The sequence below is a fragment of the Homo sapiens genome, chromosome 15, assembly GCF_000001405.40.
Source record: "Homo sapiens chromosome 15, GRCh38.p14 Primary Assembly".
NCBI lineage: Eukaryota > Metazoa > Chordata > Mammalia > Primates > Hominidae > Homo > Homo sapiens.
In genome coordinates, this window is record NC_000015.10 from 32,715,718 (window position 1) to 32,717,509 (window position 1,792).

The window sequence follows — 1,792 nt, forward strand, 5'->3', positions numbered from 1 at the left end:
GAGGTGAGGGCCTGTGTTTATCCTATCCACGATGGTTATACCCTCAGCATTTGGTTCAGCTGACAATCTTAGTGGGAATGTGCTCAACATTCTCAATCCACAACTATTTATTGAATCTGAGTGCTGTGTTAGACAATCTATATTCTATGTGCTTCATGTAATCAAAGTGACCTAGACAAAATCCCTGCCCTTATGAACCTTACATTCTAGTGGCAGGAAATACTATAATGCCAGGGAGAAGGGAGAGAGAAATGAGAATGAAGAAAAATGATGCAGTGATGCATAGCCCTCTCTATCTCTTTGGGATACAGAGAGGGGGCGTGTGTTGTGGGGAGGAGGTGGGGGCTCTATTATAAAAAATATGGCCTGAGAAACTGCATGAGGAAGAGTCATCATGATTTGATACATGGAGATAGAGAAAACCACAGTGTCAGGGCTCCAAAAAAAAAAAATCACTTCCATTTTGGGAGGTAATTTCAGCTTCTTTGTATTTGATTTGGGGCAGTATATAAGTCTTGGGAAAAAAAGAAGTGACTAAAGCTTTTATTTTAGATGAGGAGGACTTAATGAATTTGTAAAATATGCTCCCTTTTGTGGGGAGAAGTACAGCAGTTTGCACGTTGGGAGAACAGCTGGCTCCAATACAGCTTGGTGGTGGGCTTCGACTGAACTGGTCATCGCCTAAGTATTTTGTGTATTTCTGATTACCTATCTCTCCAGGAGCCCACGTGAGCAAGACAGGTCTTCAAGCTGGTTCAATGCTCCCATTCTGTAGGCAACTACAAACTGTGGCTCACTGCATGACTTAACAACAACTGATTGAGAATTGTAAAGTGCAGCCTCGAGTTCATGTGTAGAAACTGCCATCTGCACAAACAAAACATTGAGAGGACTAAGATTTTAAGGATACTAATGCAGACGTCCTTCTTGCTTCATTTATTTAAAAATATCTATTTCACGTTCCTAACAGCATCTAGTAGATGTTTCTTGCTTCTTCCCCCTAACGCCGGACTAAAGAGAAAAAAAAAATAGGCTGTTTTCTGGTCTGGTTTTGTTTTCCTAGTCAAGTACTTAAATTACGGGTGTTTCGTAAGTATCTTTTGATGGATTTCATTGTTTTGTTTATTTCGCGTTAGACAATACAGACACCTTCATATTTCCTTCTGTAGCAAATCTTTTTCAAAGTCTTCATTTGACGTGGCTGATGGAGCTGGTCTGCAGATCTTGCAGACGTGTTAATTTTTGCACGGACTTTAGCTTCAACACACAAAACTTACGGCCTCTTTGAGGAACCAATTTTTCAGGCTAAGAGAACAAATGAAAGTGTTCGCTCATCTTTCGAAAACTATTTATGTACTTGGTATCCGGAATGTGACATTGGTTTTACACGTCGGTAGGTTTTTGTCCTAAATTTCTGGGAAGTTACTTCCTCATCTAACGTTTTATTTTCCTGACTTATTCGTCTTTGATATGCTACAGAAAACCCCTCTCGCCCAGTGGCTGTTTTCTCTCTGTCTCTTAAGATAATTTAGGAACAGAAGCCTTGACTTTTGACGGTCATTTAGTTTTATTCTCCTCCCGTGACTCCCCTCTGTACACTCACAGGGGAGGCCGCCGGCATCTGGGCTGAAAGAACCCTTGGCGGGCGAGGAGAGCAGGGTGTCATGTTGGCGACAGGCTCCTGCTGGCGGCCAGCGAGCCCGCCAGGTTAACGGGGGCGCCGGGGTCAGCGCCCTCGAAGTTGGGGGCCTCGGGCGGGGCCGCCGGGGAGCCACGACGGCCGCTCGACCAG